We start from the raw sequence: 24,250 nt of genomic DNA, 5'->3' as shown, positions 1-24,250 counted from the left end.
CACAGACCTGTGCCTCTGCCCTACATTCTTAAACCCTCCCTTCTTTCCCCAGCTGATAGAGCTTGCTCTCTGGAGACAAGAAGCACATTTAGGTTAAGGTGTTAATGACTGAGGAAGGACTCATGTATTATCCTTCTAGGTGTGTAGTGTTTTTTATTTTAACAGGGATAGGGAAAAGGGAAGGGAGCTAGCATTCTTGAGCCTAACACCAAAGTTTGTCTCTAATGAGGACTTGAAGCTTTCGTAACCATGGATGAGTAGGAGGTATTTGTTTAGACAGTCATCTTTATTCTCGACAAAAGAAAAAAAAGAAAAGGCAGACTGGTGTCAAGCACTCCAAGAACAGTTTCTTAATACTTGTGAAGTAAGTGGTATTATTATCTGATTTTACAAATAAGAAAGGCCAGGTGCAGTGGCTCATACCTGTAATCTTAGCACCCTGGGAGGCCCAGGTAGGTAGATCGCTTGAGCTCAGGAGTTTGAGACCAGCCTGGGCAGCATGGTAAAACCCTGTCTCTACCAAAAATATAAAAATTATCCAGGCATGGTGGCACATGCCTGTGGTCCCAGCTACTCAGGAGGTTGAGGTGGGAGGGTTGCTGGAGCCCAGAAAGTTGAGGGGGCAGTGAGCCATGATCACGCCACTGCACCCCAGCCTGGGTGAAAGAGTGAGACCCTGTCTCAAAAAAATAATAATAAAATAAAGTAAAATAAAAACAAGTAAGAAGACAGAGTCTCAGTGCTATGATCTGAATGTTTGTGTCCACCCCTCCCCAAATTTGTATGTTGAAACCTAATCACCAATGTAATAGTACTAGGAAGTGAGACCTTTGGGAAGTGAGTAGGTCACAAGGGCAGAGCGCTGATGTTTGGGATTCGTGTCTTTATGGAAAAAGCCCAAGACTGGGCATTCCTGTTGCTAAGAAAAAATAAATAAATTGAGCATTCTTGTTGCTAAAAAAGAAAAAAAAAAGAAAGAAAAGAAAGAAAAACCCCAGAGCGCTGTCTTGTCCCTTCCACCTTGTGAGGACACGGATAGAAGGAGCCTTCTATGAACCAGAAAGTGGACCTCACCAGACACCGCAACTGCTGGTACCTGGATCTTGGACTTCCTGGCATCTAGAACTATCAGAAATATGTTTCTGTTTTTTATATGCCAGCTAGTTTAGGACATCTTGTTATAGCAGCCCAAACAGACTAAGACACTCAGAGAAATTAAGTAAGTATCACATGTCACTAAGCTGGCAAGTGGCAAAGCTGAGATTTAAATCCACATCTGTCTTTAACATTTCCATTCAACCTCAACATTTCCCATAAACAAGTTTTGGCTGCAATGAGACATTATGATTATAGCTATGTTATCATCTTGTGGCAGTTTTTAGAAAAACGCAAGTATTTCATAAATATGAATCATTGTTGTATTGTCATAATAATAAAAAGGTTAACCTTTATTTAGTGCTTACAACATGCCAGATACTATTTTAAGCACATTGCATGAATCATCTATTTTCTTCTTCACGCAGTACCATGAGGGAGATTCAGTTCTTGCCCTCCATTTTACAGATGAGGAAACTGAGGGTTAGTGATTTGCAGAACGGGCACAATCATACATAGCTGTGTCCTCCCTCAGACTGTGTAACTGTAAGTTTTTTCATTTTTCCTAAGATAGTGAAATGAAGAATGCTATAGTAATTGACTGAGGTCTTATGAGATTATCTCTTGAATCTATTTCCAGTTGGGAACTCGGTGTTTCTGGTTGGCAGATAGCTCTCCTACTGGTCAAATTCAGGAATCAGACTGGGAGACCCTCGCCCTAGGCAAGGCTTGGTGTAATGTGCTAGGGAGCTAGCAAAAGACCCAAGATCTTGCTGTCTGTCTGGGGAGGCTAACAGGAACATGCCAAGAAGGCAAAGCAAGGTGGCACATGCTGGATCCAAGGGCATAGGGTCGATGAGCACCGCAGGGGTCAGACTGGGAGGTAAGCACAGACAAAGATGAGCACAGGTCCACAAGAGTTTTAAGGCCTCATGGAAATGTTTCTATTTCTTTAAAATCAAGATAACAAAATAGACTTTTTGGCCAAAAAAATATATTTATATACAATGTAGTCATCTTTATACCAATAGAGTTATAAAATATAATTTTTAATTTTTTGCATGGAAGAAGGAGCCCATGAAGGCAAGAGTCACTGGAGCCATAAAAGTCATAATGTGACCCTGCCATTGCCCTCTGGATGCAGGTCACTCCAAGGCCTTTGCAGGTGGCAGAGCCACAAGTGGAAGGAGCCTGGGTCCCTGAATTTGGTCTGCAGGAGAATTGCTTGCCAGTCAGAAACACCCAACTATCCACTGGAAATAGATGCAAGAGATCACTCATGAGACTTTCATTAATTACTGTAGCATTCTTCTTTTCATTGTCTTAGGGAAAAAAATGAAGAAACTTAAGGTTCCATGGCCTGAGGAAGGCCACAGAAGGAAACTCACTTTGAGCTGAGCTTTGAGGGGCAGGAAGTACTAGCTCAGCTGGAATGCACCCTCTGTTCATGATCTCCATGACGAAAATGAACTCATTGTGTAAGTGAGCTGGCCATCTTCTCAGGAAGAAGAGGTAAGCACTCTCTGGACAGAATGTGTTTATGTGTTTTTGGCATGGCCAGTGCCCAGCTCAGCACTTGGGACATTGTAGGAATTCAAGGAATGGGGCTCATGTCCTCATGCAAACACCAGTGCGCAGAACTTGGAAGTCGATTTTCTGTTTTAAGCAGGTATCAAACAGGCAATCAACACTGTGCCTAGTATCGAACCAGAATGCCCGCAGGATACAAGGGAGACTGTTCCTTAAGGATTGTTAAATCAGGAGGGAGAGTATAAATTAGCGTGCATGTGCAATTCATATATCATTACAAGCTAAATTTTGATTTTTCCTAAAGAATGACAGTTGCTCTGTGAAGGCTGACATAGTTGAAAAAGACTTTTTGGAGGAAGTGAAGCTTGATCTGGGATTAGTGAATAAGTGGGATATAAGTATCAAAATTAGGAAATTTTGACAAGGATAGCTGACAACTAGAAGTTGGGGTAATATGGCCTTTAGGGGATGAGAAGCCCCACGATGACCAGTGAAAAGTGTTCCTGGTCCCCTTATAGGAAACGAAGTAGGGCGGAATTAGAAAACAAAGAAACTCCATCTTCCTCCCTACCCACCCTCCCCATTTTTTGTCAAACAACCAAACTCTCCCACTTGAGTGTTTCATGGAAGAATGGTTAAAGGCAGGAAGAAGAGAGAAGAAAAGAAAAGGAGCTGAGCTACAATCAGAAAGAAGAAAACAAGCTAGAGAGTGAAGATATCTCTATGACCCCCATTCCCTAAAGAAGGAACTGTCTCCTCTCTCCCAACACAGATGTGGGGACCGAGGCCCTGGAAGGCCTAGCAAGCTCAGGGTGGGACATGTGGGGGCTGGGGGTCTCTCTGGAGCATGCAGGCATTGTTTTATGCCATGCTTGAATTCTGAACAACCAAACGCTGTCAGAAGGAAGCTGGCATGTTGCTCCACTGGTAACTCAATTCCACACTGCAGATCTGCCGGCTAGTTCAAGAAGAACTACGATGCCATCAAAATCCAATGTTCAATCAGAGAAGGAAGCTGCCTTCTCTTTCTGCAGATGATTAAGAGGCAGACATACTCATGCATTGGAGAGTCTTGCTGTCTTTTCTTCCAGGAATAAAGATGGGCTCATTTAACATGATTTCTACCTGTTCTCCTGCAATTAGTGTTTAAGTGACTGTCTCTGGGTATTAGTCACTCTGAGGAAATGAAATGATGCTATGGTAATTGGCCATGTGTGTGTTTTTTCTTTTCTTTTCACTTCCCTAGGGATTTCACTTGGCTCAGAAAGCATTTTTTAACATAGGCCCTGTCTGCACTCTTTATTTAGCTAATTAGAGAGCTTAAGGGAGCATGCTGGCATTGAGCAAAAAGGGAGGAAGGGGGAGGGGCAGCGTGTTCTACTGGGAAGAGCACTCGATTGAACAGGAATATCTGGGTTCTAGCCCAAACTCATCAATTTTCTCTTCTATTAAGCTCTTAAATTTTGGTCAGCTGTGTGACAGGCATTACCTTGTTCGATCCTCACAATAACCTTACAATGTTGGTATCATGGCCTCCTTTCAGAGATGCAAAAAACGAAGTTTGAAGGAGGCTGCCTTGACCGTGGCTTCCCGGCGGGCATGCAACAGGGCTGACACGGAGACTCTAGTTGGCCTTAATTCCTATGCTTTGCCATCCTTTATTAGTTTTTGCTTACTAGATAGACCCCTGTTACCCAGGATGAGTCACTTCACTTCTCTGTCCTTGCTTGCTTAAACTGTTCGTGATTCTGTAAAAATGCTGGCTCTTCTGAAGTTCTAAGTGCCTTTCTTTCTGAACAGATGGAAAAATATTATATATCCTTTCTATTACCTTTCTAATACCTTTCTCTTTCCTTGCCCCCTACCTATTTTGTTCTGCTTTTCTTCTCTCTCCTACTACATCCAGACAGTGGCCAGTACAGCAGGTGTGGGGGCTGAGCAAGAAGAGGCAGGGGGAGGAGAAAGAAGCAGCTCTATTCATTGGGCACTCCATTTTCCAGCCCAGGGCAATACTTTCTTCTAAATGAGCCCAGAGTAACATAGCGTGGAACAAAGACCCAAAGAAAGGCTTGGAGTATGAAGATTTCATTTCCAATTCTGCCGCTGTCTTACTATATTGTGGGGTTTTGACCAAGCCATAGTCTTATGGTACCTCGGGTTCTTCACCTTGACAACTATAATTATAACACACATCAGAGAGTGGTTGTGCCCTTGAAGTTGCAAGAATATGAGGTGTCAAGTATGAGTGATGAAATGATGGTCCTGGTAGGGGTCCTAGGCCAACTAGTCCTGATCCTCTGTCTTATAGGAAAAAGGAAGGTGGGCTTCCTGGTGCCACTTAGATAGGTGGTGACACAAATATGTTGATAGCCCAAGCAGCCTGATCCTTAGCCCAGCGCTCCCCGAACCAGTGCATTTGTCCCAACTTCCAAGATGGAGGAAAGGTTTTGTTCTTCATAGAATTCAGTTTTTATGAGAGAACAATAATTACCTGTCAATGAAACACCTCTGCTTTCTCTAGCTAACATTTTAGAAGGTATCAGAGATACGGCTCACCAGGGACAAAGATATTACACTGGTGTGCATTCCCATTCATGACCTATCTTGATGATGAATTCTGTGAGGCTGTGCTCCATGAGGAAGCAGATGGAAGTCACCGCCCATGCCCAGCCCCCAGCACGTGACAGTGTGGAAGGCAGACACTATACCATGTGGCCAAAGAAGCATGTGTCACAGACAAGAGCACACTTTGCAGAAAGGCTAGCCACATATTTTGCTTCATGACACTGCCCTCCCCCATTTTTTGTTCATTTCTTGCTGGTGTTTGTTCTTCTGTTAATGCCTATAACAAAAAATTACAGTTCACAGTTGGAAAGGAGAGAAAAACTTTCTTGGCCTGTGATATGGTTTGGATCTGTGTCCCCACCCAAATCTCATGTCAAATTGTAATCCCTAATGCTGGAAGTGGGGCCTGGTGGGAGGTGACTGACTCAAAGGGTGGTTTCTCATAGTTTGACACCATCTTCCCTTGGTGCTGTCATCATGATAGTGAGCTGTCATGAGATTTGTTTATTAAAAGTGTGTGGCACCTCCTCCCACCACTTTCTTGCTTCTGCTCCAGCTATGTGCCTCCTTCCCCTTCACCTTCCACCACGATTGTAAGTTTCCTGAGATCTCCCCAGAAGCGGAAGTCACCATGCTTCCTGCATGGCCTGCAGAACCATGAGCCAGTTAAACTTCTTTTCTTTATAAATTACCCAGTCTCAGGCATTCCTTTGTAGCAATGTGAGAACAGACTAATACAGCCTGTATCTAAACCATCCTTGAGTAAGTTATTGTCTATAAATAGCACCTTAGGTTGTATACTACAATGTCTTTCATGCAGTTTTCTTTTGCATTTTTCTTCATTCTGCATCAACCTTGTGAGGATTATTGTAATCTTCATTTTGTAAGAATGTAAATCTGTGCTGTCTGATATAGTAGCCACTAGCCATGTATGGCTATTTTAATTTAAGTGACTTAAAATTGAGTAAATGAAAAGCTTCACTTCCTCAATGATCCTGGCCACATTTCAAGTTCTGAGTAGTTGCATGCTAAGAACTTGTTTGTATAATCCCTTTTAGCCCTCAGACAATTTAACAAAACATTTTATGAAGTAGGCATAGCTTTATAGACAAAGAAGCTGAGTCTTGGAGAGATTTGCTCTCATATCAAGACACATACAACTCAAAAGTGGTGGATATCTCTTGGTTTGGCTCCACAGTTTTCTCTCTCAACCACGATACCATACTTTGGAAAGACTTTCACAAATTCTTAAAAATATGAACATGCAATTACCATTCAACCCAGTAGTTGTTCTTCTGGCCACATATTCTAGAGAGATGAAAATTTATGGTCACACAAAAAACTTGTACAGGAGTTTTTACAGCAGCTTTATTTGTAATAGCCCCAAACTGGAAACAATCCAGATATTCATCAGTGAATGAAGGGTTAAGCAAATGGTAATACACCCCTACTTAGCAATAAAAAATAGCAAGCTATTGATATGTGCAACATTCTCTAGATGAAGTACCAGAGAATAATGCTAAGTGGAAAAAGCCAATCCCAAAATGATTGCATACTGTATGACTCTATTTACATAACATTCTTGAAATGACAAAATTATAGAAATAGAGAACAGATTAGTGATTTCCAGGAGTGAAGATCGGGGTGGGGCAGAAGGGAAGTGGGTATGGCTATAAAAGGACTATTTGAGAGCTCCTTGCCAGGATGGAACTATTCTGTATCTTGACTGTATCGTTGTCAATATCCTGGTTGTGATATTGTACCGTAGTTTTGCAAGATGTTGCCATTGGATGAAACCTGGTAATGTGGTTTGAATGTTTGCCCCCTCCAAATCTCGTGTTGAAATGTGATTCCCAATGTTGGAGGTGGGGCCTGGTGGGAGGTGATTGGATCAGGGAGTTGGCTTCCTCATGAATGGCTTAACACCATCTCCGTGGTGAAAAGTGAGTTCTCAGTTCACTCGAGGTCTGCTTGTTTAAAAGTCTGAGGCCTCCCCACTCCCTTGCTCTGTCTTGCTCCCACTCTCACCATGTGATATTTCCTGCTCTCCCTTAGCCTTCCACCATGACTGTATGCTTCCTGAGGCCCTCACCAGAAGCAAATGCTAGAGCCATGTTTGTACAGCCTGCAGCAACATGAGCCAATTAAACCTCTTTCTTTATAACTCATCCAGCCTCGGGTATTTCTTCATAGCAACACTAAAATGGCCTAATGTGGCCAGGCGTGGTGGCTCATGCCTGTAATCCCAGCACTTTGCGAGGCCAAGGTGGGTGGATCACCTGAGGTCAGGAGTTTGAGACCACCTGGCTAACATGGCAAAACCCCATCTCTACTAAAAATACAAAAATTAGCCAGGTGTGGTGGCACCTGCCTGTAATCCTAGCTACTCTAGGAGGCTGAGGCAGGAGAATCGCTTGAACCCAGGAGGTGGAAGTTGCAGTGAGCTAAGATGGCACCACTGCTCTCCAGCCTGGGCGACAGAGTGAGACTCTGTCTCAACAACAACAACAACAACAACAAAATGGCCTAATGCATATGGTAAAGGTTACACTAAATCTGTCTGTATTATTTCTTACAACCATATATGAATCTACAATTAACTCAAAATAAATTCTATTTTTTTAAATGTGACTAGATATATATGCTCATTACCTATAGAAGCTGCATTTTCCCAGAATCTCAGTGTCATCAAGCCGATTCTGTCTAACAATGCTCGCATATTGGCATAGGCATGTGGGCATATGGTGCATGTGCCCACAAATACATGGATTTGTAAGGTGAGAAAGTGTAAGGTGCAAAGAGCCAGAAAATGCTCAGTCTATGTCATGGGGAAGGTGGTGAAAAGTCTACACTGAGAAGAGAATGGCTGTACTATCCAGCCAAAGAGAGACAAAGTAAACCTGTGGTGATCAATGATGTTTAGTCAAGAAAGTATCCCTGGGGCTGAGATTTAGATGTACACTTTTTTTCCAGCACTATTGAGGTAATAATTGACAATAATTGTGGTCAAAAAATGACTTGATATGATTTCAATTTTCTTAAATGTGTTAAGACTTGTCTGTGGTCCAGTATATGATCTATCCTGGAGAATGTTCCACCTACAATTGAGAAAAACATATATTATGCTGCTGTTGGATGAAATATTCTGTACGTCTGTTAGCATTTGGTATGTAGTATAATTCAAGTCTGGTATTTCTTTATTGATTTTTCATCTGTATGATCTATCCATTCTTGACAGTGGGGTACTGAAGTTCACTACTATTATTATATTGCTCTCTATTTCTCTTTTCAGTTTTGGTAATATTTGCTTCATATATTTGGGTGCTGTAGTGTTGGGTGCACTTACAGTTATATCTTCATGGTTAATTGACCCCTTTATCATTATATAACGACCTTTTTTTCTGTGGTGACAGATTTTTACTTCAAGTCCATTTTGTCTGGTGTAAGTATAGCTACCCCTGCTCTCTTTTGGTTACCACTTACATGCAATATCTTTTTTCCATCACTTCCCTTTCAGATGTGTCTTTAAAGCTAAAGTTAGTCTTTTCTAGGCAGCATGTTTTTGGATCTTGTTTTTTAAACCCATTCAGGTGCTCTGTGTCTTTTTATTGAAGAATTTAATCCATTTATATTTAAAGTAATTATTGATAGATAGCTACTTACTATTGCCAATTTATTAATTTTTATGACTGTTGTGTAGTTCCTTTTTTCCTATATTACAATGTTTCTTTATGATATTTTGTAGTAGTATGCTTTGATTTCTTTCTTTATCTTCTGTGTATCTACTAAAGGTTTTTGCTTTGTGATTACCATGAAGCTTACATCAAACATCTTATAGTTGTAACAATCTATTTTAAGCTAATAGCAATTTAAATTCAATTGCATACAAAAACTTACCCTCTAATTTCTCTCCCCCAACACACGTTTGATTTATTGATATCACAATTTACATCTTTTTGTATTGTTTATTTATTAATTATTGTAGCTATATTTTAATACTTTTGTATTTTAACTTTTATACTAGAGTAAAAGTGAGTTTTATATTTTCATATGATTTTAAATTACTTATTAGTATCCCTTTATTTCAACTTGAATAACTCCCTTTATCATTTCTTATAAGGCAGTTTCATGGTGAAGAATTCCCACAGCTTTTGTTTCTCTGGGAAAGTCTTTCTCTCTCCTTCAATTCTGGAGGACAGCTTTGTTGGCAGTCTTTTTCTTTCAGCATTTTTAATATATCACTCCCCTCCTGGCCAGCAAGGTTTCTCCTGTGAAATCCACTGATAGCCTCATGGAATTTTCCTGCTTTTCTCTTGCTGCTTTTGGAATCCTCTTTGTCTTTGACTTTTAATAATTTGATTATAATGTGTCTCTGTGTAATCATCTTTGAGTTGATCTTTTGGTGGAAGTCTGAACATCAAAAGTCTGGATGTCCACATCCTTTCTAAGTTTTGGAAAGTTTTCAACCATTCTTTCTTGAAACAAGCTTTCTGCCGCTTTCTCTCTCTCTCTCTTTTCCTCTTAAATTCTTCATTATGCATGTATTATTTTACCTGATAACATTTCATAAATCCTGGAGTCTTTCTTCACTTTTTTTATTTTAATTTTTTTACTTTTTCTTCTCTGGATAACTTCAAATTACTGGCCTTTTTATTCACAGATTCTTTCTTCTCCTTGATCAAGTCTGCTGTTGACGCTCTGTACCTCATTTCCAGAGGTATTAATGTATTATCCAGCTCCAGAATCTCTCTTTGGTTCTTTTTTAATGTATTATTCAGCTCCAGAATTTCTGTTTGGTTCTTTTTATTTATAGTCATATAAAACGAACTAGGAAAATTTTGCCCCTTTTCCTATGTATTATACTTTGAGATAGTTAAGCCATCAATTCCTTGAATGTTTGGTAAAACTCATCTGTAAAGTTTTCTGGGTCTATTGTTCACGTGTAGGAAGCAGCAAGTGCAGTTTTTTAAAAATGATTTCAGAAAATTTTACAAACAAAAAAATGTTAATAAGGTTGTCTTTGGATAGTGACATACCATGGAATTCTTTTTGACTTAATATTATTTCATTTTTAATATTAAGATTTCATTTATATAGACTAAAATTTATCTTTGTAGTGTCCAGTTCTGTGAGTCAAATTTCTGCAGTCACATGCCATGACCATAAAAAAGACAGAAAAGTTCTATTACCCACAGAAATTTTCTCATGTCTGTTTATAGTCAAACCGTCTGTCCACCCCCATCCTTGGCAACCACTGAGTTTTCTTTCTCTATAGTGTTGTCTTTGTAAAAATGTCATATAAATGGAGTCATACAGTTTGTAGCCTTTGGAGTCAGGCATCTTTTACTCAGCGTAATGTGTTTGAGATTCATCCATATGTTGGGATGTTCCTTCCTGTTGCTGAGTAACATTCCACTATGTGGATACACCACAGTGTATTCATCAATCCCCAGCTGAAGGATGTATGTCTGTGTTGATTCCAGATTTTGGCTCTTGTAACTAAAGCCACTGTAAACATTCACATACAGATTTTAAATGAACAAGTTTTTATTTAACTTGGGTTAACATCAGCAAATGAATTTCTGGGTGGTAGGATAAGCCTATTTTGTTTTTGTTTTTGTTTACCTGAGATAAGGTCTCGCTCTGTCACCCAGGCTGGAGTACAGAGACAAAATCACAGCTCACTGCAGCCTCAACCTCCCAGGCTCAATCAATCCTCCAATGTCAGCCTCCCTAGTGGTTGGGTCTACAGGCATCTGCCACCATGCCCAGCTAATTTTTGTATTTTTTGTAGAGGCAGCATTTTTCATGTTTCCCAGCCTGGTCTCAAACTCCTGAACTCAAAGGATCCACCTGCCTTGTCCTCCCAAAGTGCTGGGATTACAGGTATGGGCCACAGTGCCCGGCTCGTATGTTTAACTTTATAAGAAATCACCAAGCTGTTTTCCAAAGTGGTTGTATCATTTTGCATTCTTTTAAGCAATATATGAACAATCCAGTACACAAAATTGTCAGGATGTTCTTGTTTTCGTTTTGGTTTTAGCCATCCTAATACATGTAAAATGGTATCTCATTGTTGCTTTAGTTTTCATTTTCCTAAAGACTAATGATGTTGAGCATCTTTTCATTTGCTTATTTGACATTTGCTTATCTTTTTGGTGAAGTATGTGTCCCAATATTTATTTCAATTCTATTTTTATTGAATTGTCTGTTTTCTTATTACTTCGTTTGATGGTTTTGTATATTCTGAATACAAGTCATTTATCAGATATATGGTTTGTAAATATTTTTATCCTAGTATATGGCTTGCCTTTCATTCTCTCAGCACAGACTTCTTAAATAACAGTTTTTCATTTTGATGAAGCCCAATTTATCTTCTTTCTTTTATGGGTCATGCTTTTGGAGTTGTAGTTAAGAAATCTTTAACCCCAGAATCCTTGACTAACTCCAGATGACAAAGATTTTTCTACTACATTTTCTTCTAGATGTTTTACAGTTTGGAGTTTTACATTTGAGTCTATGACATGTTTGAGTTAGTTTGTTGCAAAGAGTGAGAGGGAGGTTCAAACTCCTGTAGGATGGGGGCTGGCATGCCAGGGGCTTTCATAGGGTCTTCTCCATATTCCGCTTTAGGTCTTCCCATTGTGCTACAAGAAGTGTGTGTGGACAAGGTACTGAGCAGCTGGTGGGCGCTGAGGTGCCACATGGAGGTGTGAGTGAGCCAGTGTCCACTCGAGTGTTTGTGTGACCGCACAGGTGCTCTGGTCTGGGTGCCATGCAGGCTGCCTCAGTGTGTTAGGCGTGTGCACATGAGCGTGTGCACACAATGTGGATGCACACACACACACACACACACACACACACACACACATACACCATGAGCACCTCTCTTGTTGTTTTTGCCCTTCTCCCAGCCATAGACCACTGTTACTTGTTACTCAATGTATGCTACACTGGTTCCAGGGGCAGCACATGGGTGGGCTCTGATGCTCTGGTTAAGTCTCTGTCCTTGGCAGGCACTGCATCCTTGGGTCTCAGGAGAGGAGTCCCTCAGTGATTTGCTTTGATCCCAATCAATAGGTCTGAACCCAGCAAGTTTATCCCACCTTCATGGAATACGGTTTTTCTCATGCCCTTCCCCAGTTTCAGTGGATTTTCTCCAATTCCTTGAAGGTGACAGGGTTTGTGTCCTTCCCACACCAATTTAAGGCTTTTGTTCCAAAGGAAATATAGGAAAGACAGATCCAGGTGGGATTTTACATCTATCCTGTAGGGCTGCTCCTCCCCACGCCCTCAGGCCTACACTAAGAGGGACGACTCCTCGGGATGCTGCTGTGAGGCACTGTTTCTGTGTCTTGCCTTTCTGGAGATCCCAAAGAGTGACCAAATGGGTACAGCTGCCATGGAACCAGCGACTTTTCAAGGCTCATGATAAAGCAACCAGCAGCACCTGGACACGCCCCCTCCCTTGCTTCTCATCCTGCCCTGTCTCATTTCCCTTTTCTCTCATTCCTTCTGCCCTGGAACCTCTCCAGAGAAGCATTAGCACTTAATCACTCACTGCCTTACCCTTTGTTTTATAGGGAACACAGACAGCTACTTTGCTCATTAATTTTCAGCCTTCTTCTTCTCTGATAGAAATATTTGAGGCTGCACATTTCCAATTATTGCTTTGGCTGCATTCTACAAGTTTTGGTATGCTTTATTTTTATTCTTGTTCAGTACTCAACAGAGACCTTTCTCTCCCACAAACAGTATCCAGGCTGAGACTGATCAGGTTCCTAGTCATCTACCTTTCACTAAAGGCCTAGCTCTGTGAGGGTTCAAGCTTGCATGTAGGGATCTCTGTTTATTTTCCTTCCAATTTTATGTAAGCCCAAGGCCTCATCTTCTGTCCTGATGTGGTTTATGCAACCCACATCACTTGATTGTCAAGACCAACAAATCCCATAAGGTAGCTTGAAATCAGTGTTACATTAATACTTAGGTTTTTGCTACCTCTTGTTTTAGTGCTTTGGATAATTTTTTGCTCCCTTGGAAAAATTTTACTATCTTGCAAACCTAACCATGCATGTAAAAGAAAGCTTATCAACTTTTTCCACTCTGTCTAGGTGTTCTCTGGCAAAATAGTTTTCAGTATTCTAGAATGCCCTATTTCCAGAAAAGGAAATCTGCATGTGATTTCAAGTATCTATTTAAGACTGTTATCCTATTATAGTTTACCACAAGATTTAACCCAGTAAGTCTTGGTGAGGATTTGGTAGTGGAAATTTTTGATACTTTGGCCCATGCGTCTAAATTATATTGACCAATAAAAGAAATAAAACATGTTTTTCTAAATTACTACAGTGAGTTAAATACATAAGGATTGATATCAGGGGAGAAGCCTGTCTAATAAGGAAGCTCAAATTTTCACATTTTTCTTGTTACCTGAAAAAGGGCATTCACCATTAATTTAGATCTCACTTAATCACATCCATTAAAGGTTCAGTTCAAGAGATAAAAGAAGAGAGACATATTTTAATTTTAAAGGACTTCTTAAATGACAAGGACTAATGTTATATAAAAATGAAATATGTTGAGTACTAAAAATTCAGCACAGCAAAATACAAAATAGAAAGTTAAAGGTCATCTAAAATTCCACCATCCTAAAGTAACCACCATTATCATTTGGCCAACACAAATCTAGACATCTCTCTAGATGGAAGGGTAGATGGATGAGTAAATAGATGGAGAGAAAGAAAATTATAAAACAGATGATATATATTTCTTTATTTTAAAGAAGTGTTAAATTTAAATTATTTAACAGAAGTAAAATTAAAGCTAAATGAAAGGAATCACTTGGCCAGGCACAGTGGCACATAGCTGTAATCCTTGGCCTTTGGGAGGCCAAGGTGATAGGATTCCTTGAGGCCAGGAGTTTAAGACCAGCCTGGGCAACATAGCAAGACCCCATCTCTACAAATACTTTTTAAAATTAGGCAGGTGTGGTGGCTCACACCTGAAGTCTCAGCTATTCTGCAGTCCCTACTACTCAGGAGGCTGAGGTGGGAAGATTGCTTAAACCCAGGAGTTTCAAGCTGGAGTAATCTATGATCATATCACTGCACTCCAGCCTGGGCGACAGAGCAAGACCCTGTCTCTAGAAACATAAATAAATGAAAAATTTTAGAAAGGAATCATTTAATTCTAGGAAGTATGTTTTTTTTTTTCACCATAGGAGATAGTAATCACTAAAACCACTCCTTTAAAGCTAAGAAAAAAACTTTATAAAAATAAATAAGCACCCTCTTTTTGTTAGGATCAGCCAGACTCAAATTTTATGTGAAACAGTCTAATTTTAAAACTTGGCAACTAACTCATTATTTTAAAAATATTGTGCTAGCTAAACAAACCACATCTGTGGGCCCCAAGTTACAAAGCTTGGCCTGACCTGAGGATCACTGGTTTGGCTTGGCAGGTCCATGTCACTTGTAGAGAAATCTTTCACCTGCTCCAAGTCAGATAGAAAAATGTTAGCTGTCAACATCATCCTTCACTGTGTCCAGGTTTTTGAGCCTAGTCTAAAAAGACATTTACATATGAAATTGCTTTTTGTTTTTAATATCCTATTTTCCCAGTGTTTGGAAAAAAAAGCTTAAAAAAATGGGAAATAAAATAATGAGAAAAAATGCCACCTTATCAAAACTAGCTATTGATTACTTTCTAATTAGGCAACTTTGTTACCTTGTCAGAACTGAGCTGGCTGCTTGGCTTGTATGAATTCCATATCACTGGAAACACTCAAGCATAGGATGGATGTCCACAGTGTAACCCACCAGCCTGGGATCCAGGCCAAGCACCTGAGGGATGGTTGACTGGATTAATAGGTGGATGGATGGATGGATGGATGGATGGATGGATGGATGGATGGATAGATGCAAGAGGAATTAAGATCCCTTTTAACCACAGGTTTTCTTGCAAGTAGGGTCTTAATTAATTCATTTATTTGTAAGAAGGAAGCTCAATGAGGCAGAAAGTTAGATGAGTGGGTTAAGAAAGAAAAAACAAAAGGATACCTTATAGTTGTTTTGCCTTCTTCTCAATCCTGCTTTAAAAAGCCTAGCCCCACGATGTCACTGAAAATGATTTTAACTGCTCCTTTGGTGACTTAGGTTAGGTTGGTCTGCTGTGTTTGTAATAGAAGGAAGCAAATATTTAGTTTCCACTCTCATAGCAACTGAACAACTTTCTGAAACTGTAACTGAAAAACTTTTCCCTAGTATGTTTTACTATTAATGCAAGTGTAGTCTTTTATTACCTGTCCCTTAGCTTTCAATTGACAGGAAGGGTATGAGTGAAAAATTGTAGTTAGACGATAGCGCAACTCTGAGAATTATATATCAAACTAGAGGTCTTTATCAGCATTTTTAAAAAATTAAATGTATTATAAAAAGGCAGGCCGGGCGTGGTAGCTCAAGCCTGTAATCCCAGCACTTTGGGAGGCCAAGGTGGGCGGATCACAAGGTCAGGAGATCGAGACCATCCTGGCTAACACGGTGAAACTCCAGTCTCTACTAAAAATACAGAAAAATTAGCCTGGCGTGGTGGCGGGCGCCTGTAATCCCAGCTACTCGGGAGGCTGAGGCAGGAGAATGGCGTGAACCCGGGAGGCGGAGCTTGCAGTGAGCCGAGACCGCGCCACTGCACTCCAGCCTGGGTGACAGAGTGAGACCCCATCTCAAAAAAATAATAATAATAAAGAAAATAAATAAATAAATAAATAAATAAATAAAAATAAAAAGGCAACTCCCTTTTTTGGATGTATTAAGAACTGGCTTCACAAGAAAGATGCTCATTTATGATTTTCTGGTACTGAAAATCAGTTTTACCCACTCAAAAACTATCTCCTGAACTTTACTGACTTCTAAAATTTCTCCACAGAGATAGATCCCTGTTTCCTGTAAATAAGCATATATCCTTAAGAAAGTAGTGTCATTATTATTTAAACCTATTAGTTATTTGATTATTCAGGAGAGTAGTGTAACCATTATTTTAACCTGAGTATCAGTTATTCGATATTAAATTTTCTGAGTGGTTATGAGTTGACAGAATATGGAGATAGTATGAGAAAAGCCTCAGAAGAAAAATAGGTCACCAGGAGTTGCCACTGCTAAGAGTGGGAGCAGAGGAGGAGGAAGAAGCAGGCATGAGAATGTCGAAGAAGGAAAAAACATGGTTTTTGCACAGATTACGTCTGGATGCATCTAATCAGGTCCAGTTTTCTCAGCCTCTCATTTCATTAGATCTCATTGTCTTCGTCTTCCAAGCTAGAAAACATATAATTTATTAAATTAGAAATTTTGATTTCTTTAGAAAAGACATATCAGCCCAAAGATATTTGTAAGAATGTTTTTGGCTGCTTTATTTGTAATATTTACCTATTCCAGTGCCCATCACCTGTGGAATAGGTAAATAAATTGTGTTATATTCCTACTATAAATAAAAAGGAACAAAGCACTGATGCATATAACAATGTGAATGAATCACGCAGAGGTAATGCTGAGTAAACAAAGTCAGGCACAAATAGTACGTTCCACGTGACGACATTTACGTCAAGTTCAAAAGCAGATCGAACTAAGCTGTAGTGTCAGAGATTGGAATAGTTGTTACCTTTATAGGGAGGGAGCATGAGGGAGCCTTCTGAGGTGCTGGAAATGTTCTATATCTGAAGATTTGGAACTTTACAAATCTTAAGTTATATCCATCTAAAACATAGAAGAAATTTAAGAGTGATCGCAAAATCTCAAACTTTATGCTCCCATCAGTTGAGAAAGGTTTTCTGAGTGGGCTCTAGTGGACTGGAGTTTAGTGGCAGTGACAAGGAGAGATTGGTGTAAATACCAGTTTGTCTTTAGAAAGCTAGACAGTGAGGGCCAGACGCGGTGGCTCACGCCTGTAATCCCAGCACTTTGGGAGGCCGAGGTGGGTGGATCACGAGGTCAGGAGACCGAGACCATCCTGGCTAACACGGTGAAACCCCGTCTCCACTAAAAATACAAAAAATTCTCCGAGGGTGGTGGCAGGCGCCTGTAGTCCCAGCTACTCAGGAGGCTGAGGCAGGAGAATGGCGTGAGCCTGGAAGGCAGAGCTTGCAGCGAGCCGAGATCGCGCCACTGCACTCCAGCCTGTGCGACAGAGCGAGACTCCGTCTCAACAAAAAAAAAAAAGAAAAGAAAGAAAGCTAGACAGTGAGACCCAAATGGACAGAATCCAGCCTTCATTTCTATTTCTCACCCTAGGGCCTCACACAAAAATGATGATAAAGAAATGCACCCAAGGTTCATCTATGTTTGCTAGTGAACTGTTTGATAAACCATGTCTTGTATGGATTCAAAGCAGTTCCTTCATCTTTTTCTATTAATTTACTTCCAAAGCTGGTTGAACACAGGAGCACAAATGTGGGAAATGATGAAAGACTAAAAAGTCATGCGAAGTGAATCTTGGATTTTTTTTTGTCAGGTAATTGATTTTTCAACTAATTGATTAATCATAGTTGAAATTAGGGCAATTCTCTTTATTTTACTTACAAACTATTTCGGGTCAGTTGAGTAGGAAGCATGCTCATTAAGAATAACTGCAAACGTGCCATCCAAGGAACAAAGATGTGTTGGTCATATATGATTCTATGGGAGTGGGCATGCTGAGGTTGAAGAGTGAGACCTGAAAAAATGAGTCCAGGTCTCCTCTAAAGTCCTGTGCCAGCTCTCCAGTGAGCTAGCTAATATTTTACAATCAAATCACTAGCCATATTTTAAGCTGGACCATGCCAGAGCTGCCTCACTAGTGTGACATAGCAGTGGGATATTGTTACTTAAAGCTGGCTTTCTTATTTGAATTGTTTTAGGTCATCCCGTAAATACTGTTACCTTCAACTAAGACCCTTGAACAATTCTCCATTTTATTCTCCATTATCACACTGCTGCAAGATTCTAGCAGATGGTTTCATTCCAGGTACACATGCAATCTCTCTCCCCAGTGAAATAGAATGGCTGTTTCAGGCTTGTTGCCTGTCACCAAGTCTTAGGACGGATCAAGGGAAAAAACCCATAGTCATGATGACATTCTGTAGAAACTGCTTTGGGAATTCAGAAATGCAGCATGAAATTAACCCAACGTGGAATTTGCCCTAAATTACTAGAAATTGAATGGTGACCCTTTTGTAAAAATTTACTTTGGTACTTGTGTTGACCACAATTGGTCAAAAATCTTGGCTTTATTGATTCGACCTCTGAGTTTATTAAAGCATTCATGGTTAACAAAAATTATGTGTCTGAGCCAGTGGAGCTCAGTTAAAAGAAAGGCAGGAAGTAATAAGGGCAGCCGGTTTTCAAGGGCAGATCTCCCTCTTAGAACTAGAGTTCCTCTGCTGGGATAAAAATTGCAAACTGAGACACAGAACAGGGTATAATAATCTAAGAAGAAAGTTCCATGAACAATCTAGGAAGTCTAAGGACCAAATTGTTCAAGGAACTTTGCCAAAATTATATAGCGAGCTATTTAGAGAGGTAAGCCATGTCCATGATTGTAACCCTTTTATCTTCGTGTGAGTAGATGACATCCTTCTGCATTTATTGAGGCTAAATCAATAGATTCAATAAGGCCACAGCTTTCTCTTACTCAGCGCTTTGTGGGAAGAAACCATTCCATTTGTAGCACATTGCTCAGTGTATAGTAGAGGTAGGAGTTTAATACATGTTTATTTAATTGAATAGAAATGCACTACATACTTCACTACAGTTTATAAGATTTTGTGCTTTTATAAATGATTACTAATTCCATCATTCCATGGGATCCTCCCTATTATCCAATAAAGTTGTAAGACAAGTATCATTCTGGCCTCCAAGGCAGGATGTCATGGCTCACTGGGAAATAGAATGTGCAGTTCTGGATCTTAGAGTCTCTACTCTTTCTAGGCTCATGAGAGCTGAGAAATCAGGGTTCTGGTTCCATTTCCTCTACTGAGGAAGTTGCTTTCTTTTGGGCCTCGGTGGTTTCAGGGTAATCAGATAGAACTTCTCAGAGGTGCTGGGCCTTGGAAACTGTTGGCTTTTCAGTACCTGAACAGAGTAACACATAGAGACAGAGGAAGAATATTCTAGGCAGAGAGAATGGCATAATCCAAGTCATGAAAGTTAAATAGTATATCTGGACAATAGTTCAAATTAGCTTTGGCAGTAAAGTTTGTTTAGGGGAATAATGGGAGATAAGATTGGAAATGCCCGTTGAAATTGTATTGCAGAGATAAATTCAACAATTTTTTACTGAACACATACCTTATGCCCAGCATCATGGCAGGTGGTAAGGGTATTGTAGTAAATAAGGCAGGTGTCTACTCCTAAAGAGCTCACTCATCAATAAAGAGAAAGCAAGTTTCTCATTACAAACAGCAATGTACACTTTCTTCATTAGGCATTGGGATACCTCTAATGGCAGAAAAATGATCCCACCCAAGTTGTGAGATGTTTCCTACCAAAGCTGTCTAGATTATTGCAGAAGACATGTAAGAGAAAAGTGGAAAAATCAGTTATTTATGACAATAAGAATAAAAAGAAAGGACATATGTCCAAAATGTTATGCAAGAAAACAATGTGTTTGTTACACCCAATGGATGTAGAGTTCAAGGCAGAGAAGAAATCACAGGCAACTGAAGTTTCTTATCTTAGTGAGTAGGAGAGAGAATGTGACATCTCAGTGTATACTTTTCACTAGGAAAACCTCCTAAGCAAAGGAGGAGAAAATGAGGTCAAGTTTAGAGTTGCTGTTGATTGTAATAGATCAGGAAGGCAGCTAGAAGCAGGAAAGGGGATGCACACCGCAATGGGGCTTTGTCATCAGCATAGAAGTGATCTATAGAGTCCTAAGAATTGCCAAGATCACCAAAGAAGAAAAGGCATCAACAATCAGGTAAAAGGCTAAGTTAAAAAAACTGTTCAAAATTTTAGTTATTCATTTCCACAGTGTATATAATGAAAAAAATCCAGCACTAGAAGATTAGTTGAATAAACTATGCTAAATACATACAATGGAATACTACACAGCTATAAAAAAGGATGAAGATCTTTACACATTGATAGGGAAAAGAGGACCAGGTTGTATTAAGTGGAAAAAGCAATATGTAGAAGTATATGTAGTATGCAATCTTTTGTGTAGGAAACATAAGTAAATAATATATAGACATACTTCTTATATTTGCATAAAACACTGGAAGAATAAAAAAGAAACTAATTAAAAGGATTATGTCTAGGGATTGAAGGGGGATAGGGGAAATAAAGTCAAGGGTATAACACCTTAGGGTATAATTTGTTACAGTGTTCTCATTTTTGAGCCACGTAAATGTATTACTTATTCAAAGTATGAACTTAGAAAAAATAAGTGCAGAATGCATTGCCCTGTGTCTAGTATAAAGAGCTTGGGAACTGTGGTTCCTTTTCCAAAGAGGAGCAGGAGGTGATGGTGTAGAGAGGGAGCCACATTGTGAGGCTTGGACCTTGCAAAGGAGGAGGGGAGCAGAATTTATAGGTGAGGAGATAAGGTGGATGGGTCCTGGCCTCTTTGGTGTGTCTCTTGCTCAGTACTCCTCAATTCCTGTTTTCCACCCACGCTGCCCTCTCCTGTCTTTTCCTGGACATTCTAAGTAACTTCCTAGTTTGCATCATGCTACATTCCCACCAAAAGAAACACCCTTCCCAATGTTTTCCATTATTCCAAATCTTCACTCATTCTTTTATTCAATAAACATCCAAGCACCTTTATGCACTACATGCTATAATGAGACCTGAACATGCTATGGTCCTCCCCACTTTGAAGGTTCACTGTCTATTAAGAGAGACAGATACCAAAATTAACAATGCAACATGATCTTTGAGAACAGCTTCTCTGAGAGATGACATTTACTCCAAATAATAAAAATTGACCAGCAGAGGGGTTCCCTCCAGTTCTCATACACTCTTTCTAACTTAGTGGTGCCAAACATTTGTATTGCTTTGATTTCTTCAGTTAATATTTTTAGCCACCCATGTGCTTGTCACCCTTCTTGATTCTTGTACCTTCTTATTATTTAATTATCAAAAGAAGCAGCCCTGTGAAAATCTGAAAATCAGTATGATCACCCTCATGACATTGATAAAGAAGGGGAGACTAGCAGAGCTCAGTGGCTTGCCCAGGGCCCAAAGCTAATTCCTTTTAGGAGGCTATGCTTAATGGAAAGGGGTTAGATTTGTGATTCTTATGAAGGGTAATAGTTACTTGCTGTGAAAAGTATTACAAGGCTTCTTTTTGTGTCGTTTCTACTTGATACAAGAAACTTGATAAGCCAAGAGTTACTGGAATTTTAGTAAGCTCGTTCAGTGAACATGTTTATTTTTATAGCACTTTACCCCCGACATAAGTTTGACATTATTAACAGAGCCAAAGCCAAGCCACTTTGGCCCTTGGTAAAGACCCAGCTTATCAGAGTTTGGGTCCAGCTCCCTCTAGGCATCTTCTCTCATTATCACAGATGCCAGCCCCCTCCCCACCCACTCTGGGAAGCTGAGGGTGTGGCTGGTTCTCCTTTTCTAGGATGTTCCATGAGGCCACTTCTAGCAGCAGCCACTGCACGTGCTCTTCCTATTTCCTCCTTCCAGGCATGTGGCAGCTTTATGTAATGACCGAACTCTCGGTTAAGCCAGAGTAAAGAGACTTAGGGAGAAACCTCGGACTCTCTGGCGATTAGAGAGGTTCCATTCTAAGCTATAGGCCATTTCATTTACTCCCCAGTGTGAGGCATGACATCTTCCCACTAATTAATGGTGGCCCTCCTTAGTGATGAGTTGCTATCTGGATTCCCACACCATCTGGAGAGGAGTCTGGACACTGGAGTTTCTATTTTTACCAGGCTCTGGCATTGCACTTACATTCCATTTCAACTGAGCCAGAGGCCACAGAAAACTTGAATCATGCTCTTTTTTTTTCCTTACCTAAGGCCACTATTAACAGGATAAAGGGCTTTTTGCACCCTGCTATCTGTTATACAGTAAGGGAAGAGCAAAACAGAAGGCAGCTTTCGAAAAAAAAAAAAAAATCTTTGGTGTAAACACCCAGCTTCTGGGGCCAGTTCCACCTTGTCTGAAGGAAGGCTGTAGGGAAGTGATTTTGCAGTTAGGAGGCTGCATGAATTGCAACCCAGTTAAAAACAGGGCAGTGCTAATAACCCATAATGGGTCATTCTTGGAGTAAGGGGAAAAGAGAGGCAGGACAGAATGGGAACATTCGGGAGTTCGGTCATTAGGTAAAGCTGCCACATGCCTGGAAGGATAAAATAGGAAGAGCAAGCACATTGGCGGCTGCCACAAGTGGCCTCAGGGAATGTCCTAGAAAAGGAGAACCAGCCACAACCCTCAGCTTTCCAGAGTGGGTGTGGAGGGGGCCTGCACCTGCAACAGTGATAGAAGATGCCTAGGGGGAAGGGGGCACAGGCTCTGATAAGCTGTGTCTTTATCAAGGGCCAACGTCACTTGGCTTTGGCTCTGTTAATAATGCCAAATCTATGTGGGGGGGAAAATGGTTAAAAATAAATGTGTTCAAGTAATGAGCTTACTGAAGTTCCAGTAACTCTTGGCTCATCAAGATTCTTGTACCAGGTAGAAGCAACACAAAAAAGAAAGCCTTGTAATACTTTTCATAGCAAGTAATTATTACCCACCAGCTCTGGAGCTGGGGTACCAGAGTTCAAATCCAGTTCCATCTCTCACTTGTTCCATGGCCTTGGGCAAGTTACTTAGCCTCTCATGCCTGTTTCGTAATCTGTAATAACACTAATGTCTTGGTATCCTCCTAGCATTTTTGGAAAATTAAATGAGCTAATATATGGAAAGCGTTTCGAAAGTACTGGGCATAGAGTGGACACGCAGTAAGTATTCAGTCTTGTATTACCCAGAGTCTTGGTCTCCCTTCTCTAAGACAATGTTGTAGCGTAGTAGACAAGTGATTTGCTTCATCTTTAAAGTGGGAATAATTCCCACCTTGTAGATCCAAACCAGAAATATTAATTCAATGTTAACTTACTGTCTAGCTCATAACACTCAAAATGTAAGAAAGCACAATTAATAACCATACTGAGGCAATAGGTGTAAATTGAGAGTGGACAAATGAGGAAGGCGACTTCACGTGAAGAGCCAGGTAGGCAGAGGTGAGAGCCCCATTCTTGGTCGTCACAGTGGGACACAATATAACTGACGTTTTAGGATTTGATTCCTAGTCTAGAATTAGCATGCAAACAACCAACAGCATTAGAAACAAAATTCAGAGCCATACTCTTTATCTCCAGAAATAATGTCTATGAAACCTGAGTGGTGTATGTTTGTGTGTGTGCATGCATACGAGCATGTGTGTATGTGTGTATGCATGTGAGAGAGAGAGACTGACTCCGAAGCTTATTTTGATGCAAATCCTTCATTGCCCTCACTGATGAGCTATGAAATTATAATTTCAGGCTTATCTCTAGCTATTAATAACAAACAATAAGAATAAATTAAATTTATATCAGATCTTATAATTACTATTATTTTTCACACACCATCTCATTTGCTCTCTGACATAACCATCCTCGAAGCATCATATGTTCTTCCAATGAGACACACAGAGGTTACTGGTGTTATTCTGGAGTTAGATCCCAAACTCTTAGTTTAGAGGTTGATTTTTCACTTTATATGATCATTTGTCCATCAAATAGTGATATATGTCAGATAAGTCAGAGCACAACTCTGACACCCATGGAATCCATGGAGTTACGGATTCTGTCCCCAGGCAAATACTGATCTGTTTACCATCACTGTAGATTATCTTGCAATTTCTAGACTCCTACAATGAAGAAAATCATGCAGTATGAATCTTCTTGGCCTCTTTTCTTTCATTCATGATAATGATTTTGAGATGCATGTCACATGTATCAATAGTCTATTCTTTTTTATTCTAGAGTAATAGGTATAATTTTTTATACTTTCACATATCGATGAAATTTGGACTGTTTCCACTTTGG

The 24,250-nt window shown here is 40.0% G+C and overlaps 1 protein-coding gene across 12 annotated transcripts in view; it reads left to right on the top strand.

The window, feature by feature from the left end:
* The window catches only part of ADRA1A (adrenoceptor alpha 1A), a 119,230-nt gene that overhangs the window by 38,785 nt on the left and 56,195 nt on the right, over nt 1-24,250 (top strand). Inside the window, exon 3 of one of the 12 annotated variants that reach the window (XM_017013096.2) lies at nt 2,423-7,277. The exons of the other annotated variants lie outside the window; for them this stretch is intronic. Coding sequence (XP_016868585.1) covers nt 2,423-2,493 — 71 coding nt within the window. The 3' untranslated portion in view covers nt 2,494-7,277. Of the gene's footprint in view, nt 1-2,422; nt 7,278-24,250 lie in introns of those variants that run through there. 12 annotated transcript variants of the gene reach the window in all.

Source organism: Homo sapiens, chromosome 8 (genome assembly GCF_000001405.40).
Source record: "Homo sapiens chromosome 8, GRCh38.p14 Primary Assembly".
Lineage (NCBI taxonomy): Eukaryota > Metazoa > Chordata > Mammalia > Primates > Hominidae > Homo > Homo sapiens.
This window is presented reverse-complemented; position numbering and strand designations above follow the sequence as displayed.